Here is a 21,847-nt window from a genome sequence, read left to right as displayed (position 1 = left end):
GAAACCCTGTCTCTACTAAAAATACAAAAATTAGCTGGGTGTAGTGGCATGTGCCTCTTGTCCCAGTTACTCAGGAGGCTGAGGTAGGAAAATCACTTGAACCTGGGAGGCAGAGGTTGCCGTGAGGCAAAATTGCGCTACCGCACTCCAGCCTGGATGACAGAGCAAGATTCTGTAATAATAACAATTTGAACAAAGCTCCATGGTTAGTAAAGTGGCTGTGTTAAAACAAATATTCGTAATGAGAGCTGTTCATCTTGGTTCCTAGAGGAGCTGGGGTAGTCATTTAACTTGTGCGTGCCTCGGTTTCCTCACCTGCAAATTGAGGATGATAACAGCAGTTAGTATGTAAAAAGCTTATAACAGTGCCTGGCATACAAAAAGCATGAAATACGTGTTAGATAGTTCTGTATTATCATGCATATTCATTCACCACACATGCATGGAGGGCCTGCTGGCTGCCAGGTATCAAGGGAATGCTATTGAAGAATACTGTATTTCAGTATCTTTGTTAAACTCCAAGGAAAAGGTGTGGTTTTGTCTTTGAAGATCTGATCTGTTTTCATCTTAAGGACCACATAAATTAAGTAACTGGTTAGGTTTTTGTGTTTACCTCGATGTTCAGCAAGAACAGAATCAAATCTGTGGTCTATGAGTAATTACCTAAGTTCCCATTATTTTGTAGCTCAGTACCTTGTCCACTTTGGTCACCATCAGAAAATTTTTATTTCTGTGTTTTCTTGTAGTGTCTTCGTAAGTTCCATGAAGGCAAGGACCGTTTCTGTCTTTTATACTTTTTATACTGTCTCCCCTAGCACAAGGAAGTCAGTAAATAATTGCTACAAGAATTAATAAATTAAAGCAGGTATGAATAAGTGAATGAACAAAATTCAGTCTAGGTTTAGATTTTGGAAGAAGGGTACTTCTGGTGATAATTCCAGGAGGTGGCAGTAGCAGCAGCTTGATGGAGAGGAGGCAACAGTCAGTGAGACTGAAACCAGGGAGTGCGCAGGCCAAGATTTGGTATTGGTTTTCCTCCTGGGGTTTCAGGTTTTTCAAGATGATGATGGGACATAGGATGAAAGTGATAGTGAGTCAATGTCAAAATCGTCAGTGACAATGGGTCCATAGAAAACAGCAACCAGGAAAGACAGAGGGTTACATCAGCCTCATAGAAAAGGAGATCTAATCTGAAGAGTAAGGTAGTTTGAAGCAATAAAGAGGAGATTTCCGCCTACGGTCCCCATGCCCTGTGGTTACACAGAGCCTAGGGAAAAGAAGATCTGAAGGAGAATCGCTGCTGTCATGGAAAAGTTTCAATAAATGCAAGAAAGGAGAGAGTGGAGGCTTTGGTGCATAGGGTTAGGATATAAGAAAATTCATTTCCTTGTAGTATGAGGTGGGGGCAAGGAAAAAAATGTAGAAGAGAGAGCAAAGTGGAAGAATGATTCATTTGGGCTATTGCAGAGCAAGATACAGAGGAGAGTCCAGGAGGAGACAGGACTCATTCGAGTTTGCATTTAGAGTGGTGTCTGTGGGAAAGAGGAACCCAAGGACCCTGCCAGCCACCCCCTGGAGTAGTGTATTCATTCTGGGCTCCCATTAATCTTTAGAAAACATATCTGGGTCCCCAGTAATCCATAAAAAGGTTATTGACACAGTGCAAACCTGGAGTGAAATCAACCAGGGCTGAAAACGGGCCATCTGCAGATGTTTAACTTGGATTTACAAAAATAGAATTAGTGGAATCACGATCATTGTGGTCTAATTATAAAAAGACTTATGAGAAAGTACACTTTATTCCTCATCGCTCTAGAAGTTTCTAACTCAACATTAAGCTCATGGGCAAGGACTAGTCCATTTAAGCCTTCATGCTCATATCAATTCATTCTCATTTTCTTTGTTTCTCTCCCTCCTCTCCTCTCTCCAACTCCCAGTGGGTTCTCATCCATAAAAGTCTTTTCTAGTCTATTCCATTTCGGAGCATAGAAAGAGGATGGGCAATTTTTAAATTTTATTAATTTGTAAGGTTCCATGATTTTCTTAATTTCTTACAGTTTTTTTGGCACAGAGAACCCCCAATTTCTGCGCTTCCAAAAGCCAATTTGTGTGTAAAACACTATGATTATGCTCTCTGGACCCTGGAAGAGGGAAAGCCTGAATTCAAGCATCTGTTCCCATTTAATGAGCCACCTGAGTGAAGTTTCCAGTATATCAGGCCTTATTCAAGAAGTGACTTAAACTTAACTCAAAGATTCCAGATTGAAGCATATAGTAGAATAAGCCTAAATTCTTTGGGGAAAGCCTAAATTTACCTTCCCTTAGTCTAACAAGCTCCTGGAGTTGAGGGCAGAGTGAATTAGGTCTACCCAATCACTCCACAATCCCATTTTAAAAAGCAGCGCCCCAAAGAAAAGCTTTTTTTTTCCAATTGATGAATCCTTTGATAGCTAACTTTAAAATGCTTTTCCTATTTGATATGATTCTTTCCAATCCTGTTCCATGGCAACTACATATTCAGGAGTTAAAAAGAAGCAAATGTCAACATTGAATTGATCTACAAACTCCACCTTAAGAAATACTTCTCTACCACAGAATTCTATCCACTTAGGCAAGATTAGACACAGAGAAGTTTCATTTTTATCATTGAGTAATAGCTGTTGCTTAGATATGTTACAACTTTACCTTATCTACTACCCTGAAGCTCTCTAACTCACTAAAAATTGAAATACTTTTGGCCCAATATCTGTTTCAGGAAAGATGAAGTAGATATACTTTTCCCTATTTCTCCCACCAAGCACAACTAAAAATCTGGATATTGTATATAAAACAAACATAAGGTGACTCTGAAAGGTAGAGAAAAAGAAGAGCACTACCTAGGGATCTGAAGACCTGTGGCTCAACACAGCGGTGCATTCCCTGGGTTTTCTTTTTGTCTCATTCTTCCTAGACTGGGTACTGGAAAAGCCGGCAAAGCAGAAACTCCAGGAGGTGCAGGCAAAAAAAGGACCTAAGAAAGTCCTGCTCTGTCTAATTCAAAGGGCCAGAAAAGGAAAGCCTAATAAGACAGAAAATGTTTAGACAACAAATGATCTATGTCAATCAAGACCACACATAACAGCGTGGCCCAAGTCTACCTCTTATAGCAAAGGCCAAGTGAAGAGCCTAGGGCTCTACCTTTATCAGACTGTAAGAAAGCGCTGCAACCCACCTGCTGGGGTGGCCTCAGAGAAGGCCTGACAGGGAGTCAGATGCTCACTACATCGTGGCAAAAATGAAGTCACTTATCCGAACTGTGATATCAGTAGAGCCCACTGACAAAGTAACGAAGGACTCCCCCGTCACACTGTCCGGCTGGTATCACCAGAGGCATAGGTGGAGCATGAACTCCCACTACCCTCCAGAAATAATGAGGACTCCCTTGCCTGACCCCCCAGGCATCAGTGAAGGCCAATGGGAAAACCTGCTATTTCAATTCCTCACCAGCCTGGAGAAGCAACACATACCTCATCCTGCCAATATGGTGGCAGAGAAGGCCTTCTAAAATAAAAGATTTAGGCCAGGTGCAGTGGCTCACATCTGTAATCCCAGCACTTTGGGAGGCCGAGGCAGGCAGATCACTTGAGGTCAGGAGTGCAAGACCAGCCTGGCCAACATGGCAAAACCCCGTATCTACTAAAAATAAAAAAATTAGCTGAGTGTGGTAGCGCACGCCTGTAATTGCATCTACTCAGGAGGCTGAGGCAGAAGAACTGCCTGAACTCGGGAGGCGGAGGTTGCACTGAGCCAAGATTGTACCACTGCACTCCAGCCTGGGTGACAGACAAGACTCTGTCTCAAATAAATAAATAAATAATTTAAATAAGATCCAGTGTCTCATAATAACCAAAATGTCTACATTTCAACTGAAAATTATTTGTCATACCAAGAATGGGGAAGATCTCATCTTAAATGAGAAAAGACAATTTTAAAATGCCAATATCAAGGTGACGAAGAAGTATGAATTATCTGACAAAGATATGAAAGGCACCATCATAACAATATTTCAACAAGCTATATGAACATGCTTGAAACAAATGAAGAAAATAGAAAGTCTCAGCAAAGAAAGAGAAGATAGAAAAGAAAAACCAAATGGAAATTTTGGAACTAAAAATTATAAGTGAAATTAAAAACTCACTGAATGAAATTAGCAGAAGAATAGGACAGAAGAAAAAATAAATGAACTTGAAGATAGAACAACAGAATTGGCTCAATCTGAACAACGTAGAGAAAAAAATAACTGAAAAAATCAGTGAACGCAGCCTCAAGGAACTGTGAGATTGTAACAAAAGCGCTAATATCCACCACTCTGAAGCTAATAAAAGTGGCTGACCCTTATCTTCCAGACATGTCACTTTTTTTGTCAAACTGAAAATCAAGTAAAAATTTACTAGTTGGCCTCATATTCAATTTTTAATTGTTTTCGTTAGCAATAACATAGACCACTTCAAAATCGGCAGTCTTTTGTGATCAGCAAAGGGAGGCTCAGACAGATACATAACTTTGCCAGGACATGATTGTTCAGAGGCAAGACATCAGTTAAGAGCCCAGTGTTCCTAAACTTAGTTCACTGCTCTTTGCATTAAATACATTTCTTTTCCCACAGTCAACTAATACTAGTAAATCACTGTATTTTGGGTAACTGCATTAGAAGAATATCTTGAAAAAGTATTTAAAGAAATCCAGTGTGACCACTTTTACTAACATTCCTAGTAACCGTCAGTGTAAACATCTGGGGACCCTAATAGGAAGGATGCCATTAATTTGCATGCTCAGTAGCCCACTGCGTGAGGGTGGCTTTAGGGAACTCGTCTTGCTGACCAGAAACATACCGAAGTAATTGTGCTCTTCCGTGTGAAACAGATGGTCTTGGTTTTTCAAGTTTTCCTGTGTGTTTGTCCTCTTGGATTTCTTTTGCTGAGCCTTTGCTTTAAAAAAATATACAAATATATTAGCTTTATTGCTTTATGCTAATTAATAAAAAATAAAAGATGGCAATGTAGATATATACTCCGTTATTTCCATGTGCTCAAATGATGTGTGTTCCTGACAAGAGTTCCAGCCTCATTCTGACACTCGGAGCTGTCTTTTTCACTCTTTCAGCACAGCCCTATGTTTTACATATTGAAGAAACTTTCTGTCCAGCACCTAGGAACAGGTCTTCACAGGCTGCCACTGTTGGTGTGAATCCTGCATCCAATGCCTTCTACTCTAGGTACGGATTGCCCCCAATTATAGTTTTCTATTTTCTTATCTTCCCCACCCAACGTTGCAACAGGGCCTGCACCTGGTTTTCCAGGTATTCGCAGGCTTTGCATAGTCCTTGGCATTCTGTGTTCTCCCTTGAATACCTGCTAAGGAATCTCATGCTTGAAAGAGTAAGAATATGGAAAAAGCAACTCACTTGCCAGTCAACAGAGTTGCCCATGCATTTTTCATTTTCACATTGACTCTTTCAAACAGAGCCACAAAAGTCAAACACCCCAAAATTGATGAGAATCAATCAGAGGAGCCAGTGTCTCCCCTCTCCACATGACTCCGTTCTTCAAACAGCTCTCTGGGTTTGCTTCCAAAACACAATCACTCTGTGGTTCTCAGAATCCCTGCAGGAGAAGGTCCCCGTGTGATCAACCAGGAGTCAGTTCTTAACCCAAAAATGGGACAACATAGAATATCACCTACAGGCCGCGACTTGTAAACTATTTGTTAAATTTTAAAAAGTGGGTTGGGTGCAGTGGCTCACACCTGTAATCCCAGCACTTTGGGAGGCTGAAGTGGGCGGATTACTTGAGCTCAGGAGTTCGAAACTAGCCTGGCCAACATGGCAAAACGCCATCTCTACTAAAAATACAAAAATTAGCCAGCCGTGGTGTCACACACCTGTAATCCCAGCTACTCGGGAGGCTGAAGCAAGAGAATCGCTTGCACCTGGGAGTCAGAGGTTGCAGTGAGCCAATTCATGCCGCTGCACTCCAGCCTGGGTGACAGCAAGACTTTGTCTCAATAAATAAATAAATAAATAATGCTCAAGGTATTTCAGACTGCCCCAGCATTTAAGTAGCATTGGCCCTCAATTTTTGCTTTGATGCCTGTTTATAGAGGGTCCTAAATGGCACTTGTTTTGTATATTTCATACATTCATTAAGCCAGTGTCCACTTTATATAGGCCCATTCATATTTTTGAGACTCTAGCCTTTTCATAGTATTAAAGTTCTGTTAGACATTCTCTCTATGACAGTTTCCCTGACTAACTCCATATCATTTTCATCATTCCACATTCTCCCAGTGCTTACTTAATCAGGTCCCTACCATGATTTTTACATTTCTCCTGTGACTTCTCCATGTGTTTTATCATCTTTTCTGCATATTATTTGTCCCGACTCACCAACTATATAAAAGTGAATTGTGTTCTTCCCTTCCCTTCATGGTGCTCCACACACAAACTCTATCAAATCTTTCTGCTTGGAATACAAAAAGGAGCAGAAAGGAATAAACCTGTTCCTTGGAGGGACATGTAACTATCTACTCGGTATTTTTCTATTATAAAATAAAGTTCTGGCCGGATGCAGTGTCTCACACCTGTAATCCCAGCACTTTGGGAGGCCAAGGTGGGCAGATCACTTGAGGGCAGGAGTTTGAGAGCAGTCTGGCCAACAAGTTGTAACCCTGTCTCTACTAAAATTACAAAAAAAAAAAAAAAAAGGTTAGCCAGGCGTAGTGGCACATGCCTGTAATCCCAGCTACTCAGGAGGCTGAGGCAGGAGAATCACTTGAACCTGGGAGGCGGAGGTTGCAGTGAGCTAAGATTGCACCAGTGCACTCCAGCCTGGCCAACAGAGCAAGACTCCATCTCAAAAATAAATAAATAAAGTTATGTGAAACATTAGGTGAATATTGTTACTAAAGATGCATCTGAAAGCAAATGCAAATGTCTACATAGTCTTTGTAATTAACAGTGGTCTTCCAGTTTAAGCTTGGTTCCCATCTCTTGGTCATTTGATTCCTCCAAAAATTAATTTGGTTCTTCTCCAGTGACCTCTTGCCTGAACCAGAAATGTCTTTGTGGAGGGCAGCTGCTTTTTCCTTCTTGGGGGCTTTGCCAAGCTGATCCTTTTCCTTTTGCTGGTCTTCATTGAAGCTAATCCCCTTTATTGAAAAAATGAGGATAATTTTTAATGATATCTGAATTATCTAGTGTTCTCTGTAGATTAACGCCAGTGGTAAATTCAGGAAAGGAAGTCTCGGATGCATCTAACTTGTGGTCCTTAGTAACAGCTAAATAAGGGAAATGTCAAGACTAAGGCTTCTGTTGGAGTTAGGTGGACAGGAACATGATGTTCCTAAACTCACACCTCTGCTGCAGCACAACAGATACAACAGCAGGGCTGGACCTGCTCATTCCTCACCACCACCAAAAAATTCAACCAAAAGCCTCTATTGACTAAAACACATCATATTTAAATGGCTTGAACCAAAGATAAAGGGAACATCTTGAAGGTAGACAGGTATGACATATTAAATACAGAGGAATGAACATAAGAATTTTAAGAGACCTCTCATCAGAAACACCGCAAACCAGAAGAAAAGAGAGTAACATCTTTAAAGCGTTAAAAATGAAAAAAAAAAAAACCATGTCAACCCAAAATTCTATACTAAAACAAAAATCTTTCAAAAATGAAAGCAAAATAAAAACCTTCACAGATGAACAAAAACAGAGAATTCACTGCCAGAAGACCTGTGCTAGAAATGTTAAATAAAATTATTCTGTCGGGAGTAATACCATGCCAGCCAGAAACATGGATCTATGCAAAAAATTAAAAGCTGCAGAAATGGTAAAAAATAAATATACAGGACTTTGTGTATTTTTTTAATCATTCTAAAATATAATTGACTGTCTAAAGCAAAAATAGTAACAACGTTTTGAAGGGTTTATGACGTAGAAATAAAATGTGTGAAAACAATAACACAAAGTATAGGGAGGGGTATTCAAGGAATATTGTTGTAAGTTTCTTAAACTATTTGTGAATTTCAGAATTTTACTTAAAGGAGACGTGATAAGTTTGAGATATATATCATAAGCCAGAGGGCAGCTAAGAAACTTTTAGTAAGAAATATAAGCAGTAAATTAATAGCATAAATAAAATGGAATCATTTTTAAAAGCTCAATTCAAAACGGGCAGAGAAAGGAAAAAAACCACAAAGAACAGATGAAACAAATAGAAAACAAGTAGCAAGATAGTAAATTGAAATTTAACTGTATTAGTAGTTACATCAAATGAAAATGGTTTACACACATCAATTAAATGAGAAATCATCAAATTGGATGAAAAAGGAGACCTATTTGTGGCCTAAAGAAACTATTTTATATATAAAGATACAAATACATCAGAAGTAAATGGCCAGAGAAGAATAGTTCATGCAAATAATAATCAAAAGAAAGCAGGAATGGCCATATTAAAATCAGACAATATCGACTCCAAAGCAAATAATATTAACAGGGACAAAGAGGAGCACACATACCAATAAAGGATCAATTAGCACACAATTGTAAATGTATATTCACCAAACAACAGAATTTCATAATATATGAATGAAACACAGAGCTAAAAGGAAAAGTAGATAAATCCGTAATTGGTAGACTTCAAAACTCTCTCAGCAATCAATAAAATTAGCAAACAAAAGATCAATAATGATATAGAAGACCTGAGCAACACAATCAGACAACTTGACTTAATTGACATTTAAAAGACACACAACTCAGTAACACCAGAATACACAGTCTCTTCAAATGTGCAAGGAAAAAATCACCAAAATAGCCCATATTCTGGGCCATAAAATGAACATTAACAAGTTTAAAGTAACTAAAGTCATATAAAATATCTTCATACATTGGAATTGAACTAGGAATTAGTAAAAGAAAGATCTACAGAAACTCCTCATATATATTGAATAAAAACATCATATATCAAAATCTGTGGAACACAGTTTATACAATGCTCATAAAGAAATTTGCAGCATGAAATCTTATGTCCAAAATAACTAAATAAAGAGACTGAGACAGGCAGATCACTTGAAGCCAGAAGTTCGAGACCAGCCTGGCCAACATAGTGAAATCTCATCTCTACCAAAAATAAAATAATTTATTTTGAGTTCAGGGGTACATATGCAGGTTTATTATACAGATAAACTCATGTCACAGGGGTTTGTTGTACGGATGATTTCATCATTCAGGTACTAAGCCTAGTACCCAATAGTTATTTTTTCTGATCTTCTCCCTCCTCCCACCCTCCATCCTTAAGGAGGCCCAAGGGTCTATTGTTCCCCTTTGTGTCCATGTGTTCTCATCATTTAGCTCCCATTTGTAAGTGAGAACATGTGGTAATTGGTTTTCTTCCTAAAGAGGACATGATCACATTCTTTTTTATGGCTGTATAGTATTCCATGACATATATGTACCACATTTTCTTTATCCAGTCTACCACTGATGGGGATTTAGGTTGATTTAATGTCTTTGCTACTGTGAATAGTGCTGCAATGAACTTATGTGTGCATGTGTCTTTATGTGATGATTTATATTTCTTTGGGTATATGCCCAGTAATGAAATTGCTGAGTTAAATGGTTTTTCTATTTTTAGCTCCTTGAGGAATTGCCACACTGCTTTCCACGATTGAACTAATTTACACTCCCACAACAGTGTATAAGCATTCTCTTTTTTCTGCAACTTCACCAGCATTTGCTGTTTTTTGACTTTTTCATAATAGCCATTCTGACTAGTGTGAGATGATATTTCATTGTGGTTTTGATTTTCATTGCTCTAATAATCAGTGACATTGAGCTTTTCCCACTTGTTTATTGGCCACATATATGTCTTCTTTTGAAAAATATCTGTTCATGTCCTTTGACCACTTTTTAATGGGGTTGTTTTTTTCTTGTAAATCCATTCCTTATGTACACTGCATATTAAACCTTTGTCAGATGCATAGTTTGCAAATATTTTCTCCCATTCTGTGGTTTGTCTGCTTATTCTGTTGATAGTTTGTTGTGCAGAAGCTCTTATGTTTAATTAGATCCCACTTGTCAATTTTTGCTTTTGTTGCGATTGCTTTTGGCATCTTTTGTCATGAAATCTTTGCCAGTTTCTATGTCAAAAATGGTATTGCCTAGGTCATCTTCCAGGGTTTTTATAGTTTTTAGTTTTACATTTAAGCCTTTTATCCCTCTTGAGTTGATTTTTGTATATAGCATAAGAAGGGTCCAGTTTCAATCTTCTGCATATGGCTCATCAGTTATCCCAGCACCATTTATTGAACAGGGAACCTTTCCCCATTGTTTGTTTTTGTCAGCTTTGTTGTAGATCAGATGGTTGTAGGTATGTAACCTTGTTTCTGGGCTCTCTATTCTGTTCCATTGGTCTATGTGTCTGCTTTTTATGCCAATACCGTGTTGTTTTGGTTACTGTAGCCCTGTGGTATAGTCTGAAGTTGGGTAGCGTGATACCTCCAGCTTTGTGGTTTTTGTTTTGTTTTTGTTTCTTTTTTTTTTTTTTTTTTTGCTTAGGATTGCCTTGGCTATTCAGGTTCTTTTCTGGTTCCATGTGAATTTTAAAATAGTTTTTTCTAGTTCTATGAGAATGTTGTTGGTAATCTGACAGGAATAGCATTGAATCTATAAATTGCTTCAGGCAGTATGGCCATTTGAATGATATTTATTCTCTGAATCCATGAGCATAGGATGTTTTTCTATTTGGGTGTCATCTCTGATTTCTTTGTAGTGTTTTATAATTCTCATTGTAGAGATCTTTCACCTTTCTGGTTAGCTGTATTCCTAGGTATTTTATTCTTTTTGTGATAATTGTGAATGGGATTGCATTCCTGATTTGGCTCTTGGCTTGGCTGTTGTTGATGTACAGGAATTCTGGTGATTTTTGTACATTGATTTTGTATCCAGAAACGTTGCTGAAGTTGTTTATCAGCTAAAGGAGCTTTTAGGCTGAGGACGCCTTGTTTTATATGCTCCAAGTAAAACATTATTCACAACTGAATTCATCAAAATTTCTTCAAATGCAAATATGACTACATTAAATTAAATGTATCCTGACATTTTTAAAAAACTAGAGAAATAAATCAATAAAACCCAAAATTAAGATACATAAATATCAAAGTAAAGTGGAAAAGATAAAAATTGAAGTTAGTTCCTTGAGAAAATGTAGTAAATCTGTAGTCCTATAGCTATAGGTGGATCAAAATAAAAAAACCACAAATGGCCAATATTAGGAATGAGAGAGGTAACAATGACTACGAATTCTGCAGATATTAAAAGGTCAGTAAGAGAATACTATGAACGAGTTTATGCCAATAAATCTGATAACTTACACAAAATGAACAAATTCCTTTAAGGACAATCTAATCTACCAAAGCTCCCTCAGGAAGAAATACATAACCTGTATAGTGCCATAACTATCAAAGAAATTGAATTTGTACTTAAAATTTTTCCCATAAAGAATATTCCAGTCCCAGATGGCTTTCACCAAACATTACTACCAAACATTTAATAAACCTACCAAACATTTAATAAACAAACAATATTAATTCTATACAAACTCTTCCAAAAAATTGAAGAGGAGATTAAACTTTCCAAATCATTCTATAATGTCAGTATTACTTCAATACCAAAACCAGACAAAGATACTAAAGAAAACTACACACTAATAACCTTATGAATATAAGTGCAAAACTTCTTAACAAAATCTTGGCAAATTAAATCTGATAATGTATATAAAAGATACAAGTGGGGTTTGTCTCAGAAATGTAAGGTTGGTTTGTCACTTGAAAAATTAATCAATGTAATTAATCACATTAACAAACTAAAAGGAAAAAAACAAGATTCTCTCCATAGTACACAAAGAAACATTTGATAAAATCCAACATTCATTCCTAATAAAAGTTCTCAGTGACTCAGAATAGAAGCCTTAACCTTGTAAATGGTTAGCATCAAACTTAACTGAAACATTTCCCTTTAATATCAGGAACAAGAGATCATTTCTATTCAATTTTTTACTGGTGGTTCCAGCTAGTGCATTAAGGAAAAAAAAAAGAAATACAAATAAGTTGAGATTGGGAAGGAAGAGTTGAGATTAGAAAGGAAGAAGTAAGAAAATGAACTTTATTCACTGACAATAAGATCATCTACATAGACAACCCTCTGGAATGTACAAACAAGATACCAGAACTAATAAGTGAATTTAGCAAAATTTCAGGATATAAAATCAGTATGCAAAAATCAAGTGTATTTTTATACAATAGCAACAAATGATTAGAAATGGAAAATTTAAAACTCATTAACAATAGCCCCAAAATATGAAATACAGATAAGTTTCAAAAGAGATGTATAAGACCTGTATATTGAAAGCTACAAAACATTAGTGAGAGAAATTAAATAAGACCTAAATAAATTGAGAGACATACTATGTTCATGGATTAGAAAATTCAATATTGTTAAGATGTCCATTTTTCCTAAATTCGTCTATAAATTCAAGGCAATATCATCAGTCATAATTCCATCAGGTATTTTTTTAAGAAATTGACATGCTGGCTCTAATATTCTTATAGACTTGCAAAAGACCTAGAATAGCCAAAAAACTTTTTAAAAAGAACACCATTGGAGGATTTAAACTACCCAACTTCAAGACTTATCATAAAGCTAGAGTAATCAAAACAGTGTGGTATTGGTGTAAAAATAGAGAAATCAAAGTTACAGTAGGAAGTGTTCAGAAATACATTCACAGACAAATAGACAACTAATTTTTGACAAAGTTATAAAGGTAATTCAGTGGAGAAACAATAGGTTTATTTTTGACAAATGATGCTGGAACAACTAGGTAAGCAAAAGAAAAAAATGAACTTTGATCCATACCTCATATACACAAACCAAATTAAAGTGGATCACAGACATAGATTGGAAAGGTAAAACTGAAAAACCTCTAGAAGAAAATATTGGAGAAATTCTTCATTATACTGGGTTTGGAAAAGCATTATAAGATAAAACACTATAAGGAAAAAATAAGTTGTACTTTATCAAAATTGAAGACACTTGTTTTTTGAAAGACACTGTTTGGAGAATAAAAATATGAGACCCAGATTGGGACAAAATATTTATAAATCATATATCTGACAGAATATATAAGCCAAGAACATATATAAAGATCTGTCGCAACTCAATAAAAAACTGAATAGCCCAATAAAAAAATGGATAAAGAGTCTGAATAGACACTTTACCACATAAGATATGTGAATGGACAATAAACACATGAAAAGATGCATTCAACAACTGCAAATTAAAACCAAATGAGATACCAGTACACACCTATTAGAATGTCTGTAGTTAAAGGACTGACCATATCAGTTAATGATGAGTATGTGGAAGAACTGGGACTCTCATACATTGCCAACATCAATGTAAAATATTGCAACCACTATGGAAAGCAGTTTACCAGTTGCTTAAAAAGTTAAACATACAACTACCATATGACCTTACCATTTCACTCTTAGGTTTTTATCTAGGCATAATGAAACTATATGATCATACAAATCCTTGCACAAAAATGTTCTTGGTAGTTTTATTTGTAATAGCCCAAAACCTGAAATAACCACACACCCGTTAACAGGAGAGTGGATAAACAAATTGTGGCATACCCATACAATGGAATAATACACATCCATAAAAGCAATAAATTAATGATAGATGCAAAAGCATAGATGAATCTCAAAAACAAACAAAAATCTGCATAAACCATACCACAAAAATTACAGAACACCAAGGAAGTCCCTAAAAGCTTCCAAAGAGGGGAAAAAGCCAAAACAAACAGTTCACATGGAAACATAAGCCTTTGAAATGCTAACTAAAAATTAATTTCAAACCATTACTCTAGAAACAACTGAGAGAAAATAATAAAGGTATTCTCTAACATGCGAATCCTCAATTTTTTCCCTCCCATGTGCGTCTTTTACTCAGGAGGGTCTAACAAATGATGGGTGCACCAAGAAAAGGAAAACTGGGGCCGGGCATGGTAGCTCACACATGTAACCTCAGAACTTTGGGAGGCCAAGACAGGTGGATCACCTGAGGTCAGGAGTTCCAGACCAGCTTGGCCAACACGGCAAAACCCCATATCTACTAAAAACACAAAAATTAGCCTGGTGTGGTGGTGTGCACCTGGAATCCCAGCTACTAGGGAGACTGAGGCAGAAGAATCGCATGAACTCGGGAGGCGGAGGTTGCAGTGAGCCAAGACCACACCACTGCACTCCAGCCTGGGTGACAGAGCAAGACTCTGTCTCAAAAAAAGAAAAGAAAAGGAAAACTGAATAGAAGGCAACTTCCTCAACATGCTAAAGGCCATATAGGAAAATCCCACAGCTAACATCGGGCTCAATGGTGAAAGCCTAAAAGATTTTCAATTAAGATCAGGAGTCAGGCTAAGCATGGTGGCTCACAGCTGTAATCCCAGCACTTTGGGAGGCTGAGGCAGGCAGATTACTTGAGGCCAGGAGTTCGAGACCAGCCTGGCCAACAAGGTGAAACCCCCATCTCTACTAAAAATCTAAAAATTCGCAGAGCATGGTAGCAGGTGCCTGTGATCCCAGCTACTTGGGAGCCTGAGACACGAGAATCACTTGAACCTGGGAGGGGAGGTGAAGGTTGCAGTGAGCCAAGATCACATCACTGCACTCCAGCCAGCCTGGGTGACAGAGTGAGACTCCATCTCAAAAAAAAAAAAAAAAAAAAAAAGATCAGGAATCAGACAAGGATGCCTGCTTTCGACACTCTTATTCAACATAGTCCAGGAAGCCCAAGCCACAGTAATTGGTCAAGAAAAAGAAGTTGTAAAAGCATCTAAATTGGAAAGGAAGAAGTAAAACTATCTCTGTATGCAGATGGCATTACCTAGTATGCAGAAAAACCTAAGAATACACACACACACCCATATACACACACAGAAAGTTAAATGAAGTCAATGAAGTTGCGAAATTCAGTCTTGACTTTAACTCTCAAAAATTAGATCTGATTTCAACACTCAAAAGTCGTATTTCTGTACACTAGCAGTGAATAATCAAAAATAAAATTTAGAAAACAATTTCATTTACAGTAGCATCAAAAATAATAAAATGTTAACAAGTAAACATATGGAAGGAGAAAAACTTGTACACTGAAAACACTAAACATTGCTGAAAGCCATTAAATATACAAATAAATGGAAAGCTATCTCCTGTTCATAAACTGGAAGACTTAATATGGTTAAGATGGCAATACTATGTAAAGCAATTCATAAATTCAATGAAATTTCTATCAAAATCCCAATGGCATTTTTTGCAGAAATGTAAAACCAACCCTAAAATTCATACAGAATGTCAAGGAATACCAAATAGCCAAAACAGTATTAAAAAACAAGAACAAAGTTGGAGGACTCACACTTCCTGATGTCAAAACTATTATAACTATAGTAATCAAAACAGTGTGATACTGATATAAAGAAAGACATATAGACCAACGGAAGAGAATTAAAAGTCCCCAAGTAAACTCTTCCATCTATTATCAGTTCATTTTCAACAAGAATGCCAAGACCATCCAAAGGAGAAATAACAATCTCTTCAACAAATTGTGCTGGGAAAACTGAAAATCCACATGCAAAAGAATGAAATTGGAGCCTAAATTTCATTAGGCTCCAAATGGACAAAAATCAACTCAAAAGAGATCAAGGGCCTAAATTTAAGAGCTAAAAACTATACAATCCTTAGAGGAAAAACATAGGGGCAAATTTTCATGACCTTGGATTTGACAATGATATGATATCAAAAACACAGGCAACATTAGAAAAAATAGGTAAATTAGACTTCATCAAAATTAAAAATGTGCATCAAAGGATACTATCAAAAAAGTTAAAAGGCAACCCACAGAATAAGAGAAAAAATTTGCAAATCTTCTATCTGATAAGGGGTTAATATTGAGTATACACAAAAACTACAACTCAACAACAAAAAGAATCAATTTAAAATATAGGCTAAGGACTCAAGCAGACATTTCTTCAAAGAAGATATACAAATAACCAACAAATACATAAAAATATGGTGTACATCACTAATCATTATGGAAATGCAAATCAAAGCCGCAATGGGATACCACTTCACACTGACCAAGATGTTTGTAATTAAACAACAACCTAGAAGATAAGAAGTGTTAACAAGGATGTGAAGAAAGTGGAATCTTTGGATAATGCTGTTGAGAATGAAAATGGTGTGGCCCCATGGAAAACAGGTTGGCACTTACTCCAAAAGTTAAATACAGAATTACCATATGACCCAGAAATTCCACTTTTAGGAAAAGACCCAAAAGAATTGAAAATAGGAACTCAACAGATACTTGTACACCAATATTCATAGCAGCATTATTCACAATACCCAAAAGGTGGCAACAACCCAAGTGTCCATCCAGGGATGAATGCATAAACCAAATGTGGTCTATACATACACAAAATAATATTCTACCATAAAAGAATGAAATTCTGATACATGCTATAGCATGGATGAGCCTTGAAAACACTAGGTTAAGTGAAAGAAGCCAGATACAAAAGGGGAAATATTATATCATTCCAGTGACATGAAATATCTAAAATAAGCAAACTGATAGAAATAGCAGATTAGAGTTAACCAGGAAGTCGGTGGAGAAGGAATGGGGAATTATTGCTTAATGGGTGCAGAATTTAAGTTGGGGAGATGAAAAAGACTTGGAGATAGACAATAGTGATATTTGTACAACATTGTGAATGTTGTATGTTCTATGCAAAAGGGACTTTGCATAGAAATTAAGTCAAGGATCCTGAGATGGGGAGACTATTCTGGGTATTTGGAGGAAGCCAAACATAATCACCAGGGTTCTTATAAGAGAAAGACAGGAGGGACACAGGCAGCGACGGGGATATGCTGATGGAAGCAGCGGTCAGAGTGATGTGGAGCCATGAGCCAAGAGTCATGAGCCAAGGAACATAGGGGCCTCTAGAAGCTGGAAAAGCGAAGAATAAATTCTCCTTGATCCTCCGGAAGGAATGCAACCCTGCTGATACCTTGATTTTAGCCCTGCAGATTCATTTTAGACTTCTGACCTCTAGAACTGTAAGATAATACATTTGTGTGTGTTAAGCCATTAGGTTTGTGGCAATGTGTTACAGTAGCAAAAGAGGGCTCACAGAGGGACTTTATGAGTCCGATTCTGCTGGGTGCAGATAGGGACTGCCCCTATCTCCAGCACTTCAGATAGGAACTGCACATAGAAGACATTTAGTAAATATCTGTGGAATAAATTAATGAATAAAATATTTCTAGACTTGCCAATGACATGCATTGTGTACAAAATGTATATTTTCTCTAAAATTAAGCTTCTAGAATAATGTCCTTAGAACTGAAGAGATTTCTTAAAGGCCTGTTACCTAAAGGTTACTCACATCAAGGGCTGGCCATCACACTAAGTGGATGGTGAGAGGACTAAGTAACAGGCTGACCAAATACCAAAGATACCAAGCTACTTAACTAGAGAGAGTGAAACTCCTGGTGAGAAACCAAAGGGCACAGGTGACATTTTTCATTGCTCCCACCAGTTGAAGCCTGTAACTTAACAGAGAAGTCAGAAATAAAATGCCAGCTACCTTAACCAGGCATGGTGGCACGTGCTTGTGGTCCCAGCTACTTGGGAGGCTGAGGTGGGAGGATCACTTGAGCCTGGGAGGCGGGAGGATGCAGTGAGCCAACATCACACCACTGCACTCCAACCTGAGTGACAGAGTGAGACCCCATCTCAAAAAATAAAGTAAAAATAGATTTAAAAAATAAAAAACGCCAGCTATGGACAAGATTTTGAAGAGGAAGTTTCAGTTTTCAGGCTCACAGTTTCTAACACCTGAAGAATGAGCTCTTGGAAAGAAAAATGCTGCACTCACCTTGGGAAGATCAGGAAGAATGAGCTATCAAAAACTCCAGTGACCTGATGGAGACACTTTTAAACCAGAATCATGGAAGGGAGCTAAAAATTCTGTTTATACTCTAAAACAAAAAAGCAGAAAAATGTCTTTTTTCTCTAATCCCCAGTATCGAGTTTAGTGTCTTTTTTTAAGAGACGGGATCTTGCTCTGTCACCCAGGCTGGAGTGCAGTGGCACAATCATAGCTCTCTGCAGCCTCAAACTCCTGGGCTCAAGGGATCCTTCTCTCTCAGCCTCCCAAGCAGATGGGACTACAGCCGCACGCCACCACACCTGGCTGTTTATTTATTGGTCTGTTTATTTATTTATTTATTTTTTAGAGGCAGGGTCTTGCTATGTTGCCCAGGCTAGCCTCGAACTCCTGGGTTTGAGTGATCCTCTCATGTCCACCTCCCAAAGTGCTGAGATTACCGGCGTGGGCCACTGCACCTGGCCTCATTTAGTGTCTTATTACTTAATAAATGCATGTCTAAATAGTAATATAGAAAATAAGGCTATAGCTAAGAAACTATTTAGCAGTTTTCAAGGACAAAAAATAAACAGCTCAGTAACAAAACTTATGGCCACTGACCCTACTACTGTGACTTAGAAATTTTACCAAAATGCAATAATTATTGTCTCATAAAACAATATTATTTTACAGTTTGAGTGTAACCTTAGAGATCATGTAAATTCAGCCTTTCATGATATTGATCACAAAACTAAGGTCCAGAGAGGTGTGAATTGTGTGTGAATTGCGCATTCTTGCAGGGAAGACAGCCATCGCTCAGGCGACCTGATTTCCTGTCCCAACTCCTACCAGAATATATTTTTATCTCAACACATATATATCACTAAGATTCAGTGGAGTGAGATTTAAAACTAAAATATGGCAATATTATAGCACATTTGATTCAAAAAACATACTGTAGTTCTACCACAGAAGGAAAAAAAATCAGGTAATAATATTTTCACAACATGATGCTGAATGTTTATCCAATTTATAAATTTCCCAAGCTACATTAGAAAGAATCAAAGTGCTTGGGTTCTATGTACCACAGATGGTATTGCCATTGAGTGGTGTCATTTGTTCTTAGTTTACAGCAAATTTAAGCTTCATTCTGAGGTGTTTTAGGAAGACTATTAATTTCATCCTGTCTGATAAGAACAAAAGCAATTGCAAATGGTAATACAAAGAGACCTATGATTTCCATGAAATGAAAGTAGAGCTATTTGACCCCCAGCCCCCACCCCAAAATTAAACGTGGAAAGATGATGACAAATGTTATAACATGATGAAAACACTGGGAATCATTCTAAGGAAAAGACAAATCACGTAACATGAACAGGGCTATGCCCATCTATTCAATTAATAACGATCTGCACAAAAGGACAGAAGGCGGTTGATGAAACATAAAACCTTTCCAGTGTGTGACTAAAGTATCAGTTTCAGTATCAGATGCTCATTAGCCTAATCAGAAAAAGGATGATCAAACTTTTATTGACTGTTGCCCACAGTGCATTTTGAATGTGCAACATCAAATGAGAACTAAGGCCACAAATATAAATATATTGCCATCAATGTCCACAGAGACCAACAAAAAAGGGGTAGTTTATCTACTTCGGCAGAATTTCAGTGCAGATAAAACTTAACTTGTTTTGGAACAAGAGGTCTGAGAGGTCTACCCACAAGGAGAGGCATCCGCCTTTACTTTAAAGTATCCAAGGACATTCCTATTTGGTAGAAACACATCCAGAGACTCCAAGCTCAAATCCTCCAGGATAATCTTGGCCTTACACATGGATGCCCAGACCTGAGTCCTGTCTGGAAGGAAAGTAGCTTCCCCACTTTCAATAAATGTATAATAGTGTACTAACAGCAGAGAAGCCAGAAGAGTGTGCTTGGTCCAAAGGGCAATGAATGAGGTCACGGGGACTGTTTTGATAATAAATTCTTTGGGCAATTGAGAATATCTCTTGTTGACATTACTTGTTGTCGTAGCAAACACTGAGTGGCTACGGGTTACTGAACTTTCTTTGGTTTGGGGACACAGTCAAGGGCACAGTCAAGACCTGGATGTTAAAGCATCTGGTACTTTCCATTATGACCAAAATCTCAGCTGTACCCTTTGCCTTCTTCAAGGCAATCTTGGTTTTCATCAGAGCCAGGCAAGCACAGTTTCCTTCAAATACAACAGTAATACCTCTCTCTACCCTTCCAACATCGAAGATATCAATAATGGCAGACACAAAAAGAATGGATTGAGAAATTAGCCCAAGGAAAAGTTGCATAGTAAACGTGACAAAAGTATAAAGATCAAGGGGTAATTGTTTCAAAATGTCCTTCTCAGGAGGGAACATAGTGCATAAACACTGCATGCAGAGCTGGGCACAGCAGCTCAGGTCTGAAATACCAGCAATTCAGGAGGCCAAGGTGGAAGGATCTCGAGGCCAAGAGTACAAGACCAGTCAGAGCAACATGGTGAGATCCTGTCTCTACAAAAAAAAATGGAAAAATTGATGGGGCATGGTAGTATGTTTATATAGTCCTGGCTGCCTGGGGGGCTGAGGAGGGAGGATCCATTGAGCCCAGGAGTTTGAGGCTGCAGTGAGCTATGATCATGCCATTGCACTCCAGCCTGGGCAACAGAGCCAGACCCTGTCTCATATAAATAAAGAAATAAACAAACAAATAAATAAGTGCTGAGATACAAGAATGGAAATAAAGCAAAAAGAATCTGGACAAGAATAGGAAAGAAACAGTGATTGATTTGAGCGGTGTGTGTCGCAGAACACCTAACTAGGGGCCAGATGTGGTCATTTTTGTGGTTGGAGCACAAAATTCATACAGAGGCAAAACAATTACAATCATGATATTCTTTTCTGTCATCTGCTTTATATGCATTTTTGTAAAAACAGTAATTTTTATATACACACATATATACACACACACACATATATATAGAGAGAGAGAGAGAAAGAGAGAGAGAGATAGAGAGAGAGAGAGATGGAGTTTCACTCTGTCGCCCAGGCTGGAGTGCAGTGGTGAAATCTCAGCTCACTGCAACCTCCGCCTCCCAAGTTCAAGCGATTCTCCTGCCTCAGCCTCCTGAAGAGCTGGGATTACAGGTGCCCGCCACGATGTCCTGCTAATTTTTGTATGTTCAGTAGAGACGGGGTTTCACCATGTTTGCCAGGCTGGTCTTGAACTCCTGATCTCTAGTGATCTGCCCACCTCCGCCTCTCAAAAGTGCTGGAATTACAGGCACGAGCCACTGCGATCAGCTGAATAGTTATTATATGTTTAATTGGTTTTATGTAGGAGATCATATTTCAAAGGTTAGGAAAAAAAAGCTGAACAATACAGAAATGACAAGCACTTCTGGAGAAAGTTACCATTTGCATAGTTATAAATAAAATGCACCATTAAAAAAAATAAGATCTCAGCCGGGCTCAGTGGCTCACGCTTGTAATCCTAGCACTTTGGGAGGCTGAGGCGGGTGGACTGCCTGAGCCTTGGAGTTTGAGAACAGCCTTGGCAACACGGTGAAACCCTGTCTCTACTAAAATACAAAAAATTAGCCAGGCGTGGTGGCGGGCGCCTGTAGTCTCAGCTGCTCGGGAGGCTGAGGCAGGAGAATCGCTTGAACCCGGGAGGTGGAAGTTGCAGTGAGCCGAGATAGCGTTACCGCACTCCAGCCAGGGCAAAAGAGCAAGATTCTGTCTCCAGAAAAAAAAAAATTATAATAATAATAATAAAGATTTCAAACAACTCAGAGAGAAGGCTGACCAATATAAAAA

At 37.9% G+C, this 21,847-nt stretch overlaps 1 pseudogene across 1 annotated transcript in view; it reads right to left on the bottom strand.

Moving 5' to 3' along the window:
* ODAD2P1 (outer dynein arm docking complex subunit 2 pseudogene 1) overlaps positions 1 to 21,847 on the bottom strand; it is a 76,294-nt pseudogene that overhangs the window by 48,801 nt on the left and 5,646 nt on the right. The window contains exon 3 of the transcript NR_138082.1: positions 4,872 to 4,967. The product of NR_138082.1 is annotated as an outer dynein arm docking complex subunit 2 pseudogene 1 (transcript). The remainder of the gene's footprint in view (positions 1 to 4,871; positions 4,968 to 21,847) is intronic.

Source organism: Homo sapiens, chromosome 10, assembly GCF_000001405.40.
Source record: "Homo sapiens chromosome 10, GRCh38.p14 Primary Assembly".
Lineage (NCBI taxonomy): Eukaryota > Metazoa > Chordata > Mammalia > Primates > Hominidae > Homo > Homo sapiens.
The sequence above is the reverse complement of the archived record's forward strand: the minus strand, read 5'-3'. Positions and strand labels throughout refer to the sequence as shown.